The sequence below is a fragment of the Homo sapiens genome, chromosome 8 (genome assembly GCF_000001405.40).
Source record: "Homo sapiens chromosome 8, GRCh38.p14 Primary Assembly".
Taxonomy (NCBI): Eukaryota; Metazoa; Chordata; class Mammalia; order Primates; family Hominidae; genus Homo; species Homo sapiens.
Genome location: NC_000008.11, coordinates 21600484 through 21603868, shown reverse-complemented (window position 1 = coordinate 21603868; position 3385 = coordinate 21600484).

Genomic DNA, 3385 nt, shown 5'->3' with positions numbered 1-3385 from the left:
ACTTAACTAACTTCACAATTGTCATAACTAAAATTACTCCCGTTGTTTTCAAGTCTAGGCCAGTACTTCTCAGACTATTTGTTGTAAAGGAATAGTTTAAGCAATACTTTGTGGACTGATGAATTTCTAAAAAAAAAAAAACAAAATAAAAAAGGCATATGGTTAGGCACAATGACTCATGCCTGTAATCCCAGCATCTTTGAAGGCCAAGGCAGGAGGATCACCTGAGGCCAGGAGTCTGAGGACAACCTGGGCAACATAGTGAGACCTTGTCTCTACAAAAAGCTAAAAAATTACCCAGGCTTGCTGATGTGTTCCTGTAGTCCTAGCTATTCAGAAAGGTGGGATGAGAGAATCAACTGAGCCCAGGAGTTGGAGGTTACAGGGAGCTATTATGGTGCCACTGTACTTCAGCCTGGGTGACAGAGTGAGACCCTGTCTCTAAAAAAATTGAAGAAAGCCTATGGACCACACTTTGAGTAACACTGTGCTAGACCTATTGTATAAGCCAGTGCATTTCCTTCCACTTGGACTCCATCTCAATGCGTTTCACTACAGGTGAGCATTTTAGTAATTGTGATGCCATGGTGTGCCAGGGTTGTCTGCACCCCATCCCATTTGTCACCAGCCATGGGGTCCTCATTAGCATCTGGTTGGCATGTGATCCTATTCTAGCACCTTATGCTGAAGATCTGCTTCCTACTCTTATTCTGGCACCAAATATCTTAGATTGGGTTCTCCCAGAAGCATATTCTGAGCCAAGTAGATGGATGCATGTAGTTTATTTAGGAGGTGATCCTTGGAAACACAGTAGGGAGTGGGGAAGTGAGACAGGGAAGGAAGAAAGCTGAAAAGGATGTATTATTGTATAAATTCCCGCTGTGAGAATCTGGGCTCAATTCTACTGGGAAACTGGAAATAGATTAGAACACTCCACAGACTTATTTTGCTCAAGGATTATTGGCTGATGGCTACTCCAAGAACATTGACTCTCAGCATCTCCTGTAGATTTGCAAACTGAAAGAAATCCCTCAGGCAGGGAGGTATATGTGCTTGCAGCAGGACACCACTGGCATGTACCAACACGGGGATATGGACAGGTCATTGACAGCATCTGCTATGGAGAGGTACCAGAGGTCCATTCAAAGAGACAGAGGCAAGGAGGTCAATCCTAGGTGCATGCCAGGGCAAGGTGGAACCTGGAAATGAAAGCCAGCCCATGTCAGTCACTGATAAACTGAATGAAGGGTACGGGAAAGAGCAGAGTGTTATTTAAAAAAATGTGGTGCAGTTCAGGTTTGTTTGTGACCAGAGATTTTTGCAACTGGAGAGTAGGGTCTTACTACTAAGGGTGGAAGGACACAATGTGATGTGTTACAGACTGGGACTTGACAGGGCTATCTGCCTCCTAAAGAGTGAGATGGAACAGAGCTCTACAGGCCTTTTGTGAGTTAACCTAATCGTTTGTGTGTGGGGTGTGTGTGTGTATGTGTGTATACGTGTGTGTTTTAAAGAGAGATGGGGTCTTGCTATGTTGCCCAGGCAGGAAACAAACTCCTGGACTCAAATGATCCTACGGCCTTGGCCTCCCAAGTAGCTGCAGCAACAGGTGTGAGCCACTGTGCCTGGCAACCAAGTGACTTTTGACTTGTCAGTGAACCCCACCATCCTACAGAGGTATCTCCAAGGCATGGGGTGGGTTGAGGGCATAGGGTGTGTAGCCCCCACTTTGGCTTCAAGCACAGTGTCTTTAGTGGTTGCTGTCTTCTGATCAGATTTTGTTTGAAATGATGTTTCTGCTTCTAAAAGACTGCTTGAAAACCACTGATCTAATCTGTGGAGTTCTGTTTTATCTACTTTTGGGTGAATCCATTTGGCATGTCAGAGGGTCAGGGCTTGGGGCAGCCGATACCCTGTGTGGGAGGCCCTGGCACTTGGAGAATGTGCCCAGGTCTCCCTGAGAGTAATTGTGTCTTCAGATGCCATCTGCGGGGTTTGTAAGAAAAAATAAATAAAAAGAAAGTAGTGCTGTTACTTCAAACTTCTGTTTCTTTTGTTCTCTCTCTGTAAACCCAGAGTGGGCAGGAACATTCTTTAGTGGTCGGCATGCATCTCCTGCAATAACACCTAGTTACCTTGGAAAGTAAACTTGCAGGAGGTACACAGGAAGTCCTGGGCAAAGGTGCCAATCAATTTCCAAGTCTGACGGATTTCAGGGGGTCCCTTATCTGCCTTCTCTCTAAACCCTAGCCTTCCCTCCCGTCTCCTTTCACAAGAAGGTTGCATTTGGGCCTGGCAGACACATGCTTCTTCCTCATGGCCTCTGCATGCCTAGCACCTTGGACAGGGACAGGCGAGGCCATTTCCAAGACTATTTCTTTCAGGGGAACAATTTACTCTTTGCTCTGTGCTTGTCAGCAGAGCTCTTAAATTTCCAGGACAGTTGGATGAAATTGGATGTAGCCAATTTGCATCTTCAAATCGGTTTTGTACACACGGTGCGTGTACTCATGTCTCTGGGGACGAGAGAGGAATGGTGTTTGACAGCTCACAGGCCATGAGATGACAATTGTCTCTGCTTTGTCTTTGAGTCTGGGCCTAAGTATCCTTTTGCCTCAGTTTCCTTTTAGGAAAAAGGGGGTGGTGGGCTGAGTGATCTCTGAGGTCTCTTTTAGCTTTAGTGTTCTGTGGTTTTATGGCTCTGAGGAAAGAAGATGGTAAGAAAACCAATAGTCCGTGTTCCACTATGTAGCTGAACTGCAGCCCAAGTAGAGAGAGTCAAACTGTTCTTTGCACAGTCTTGGTTCAGACCAGCCTCAGCGTTTGGACATTATCATGTAAGCAGGTCTGGAAGTGTGGAGGGTGAAGGGGCAGCTGCTGTGTGCTCAAGATGACCTCTTGCAGCCTCTGTGTAGCTGGGATTGGCCATGGGCAATGCAGAAGGTCATTTGATCTCTTAGAACCTCAATTGCCTCACCTGCAAAGGGAAGCTGAAAAGAATCACTCCTAGTCTGGTTGAAAAGAATAACCAGGAAGTGCCTGAGATGTCATAGGCACTCATCAGTGTTAGCTTCCTGATCCTTTCCCTTCCTCTTGGGTCCTGATCTGGAGTGGTACATTTGAGTAAGAGCCCTCCATGGGTACATTATTCTCACTTCTTCATCTTTATCTCCTACAGCTCCCAAAGCTCAAGGACTTTTTTTTTCCCCTGCAGTTGTCCTCTCTCTCTCTCCTGCATCATTAATTTTTACCTCTCTACATTCTATTGGAGTGTTCGCATCAGAATACAAACATGCCATAATATCTTCAATCTTAAAAAAAAACTCCCTTGACCCCCACGTCCCTCTTCAATTACTGTTCAATTTCTCTGCTTGCTTTGACAGCA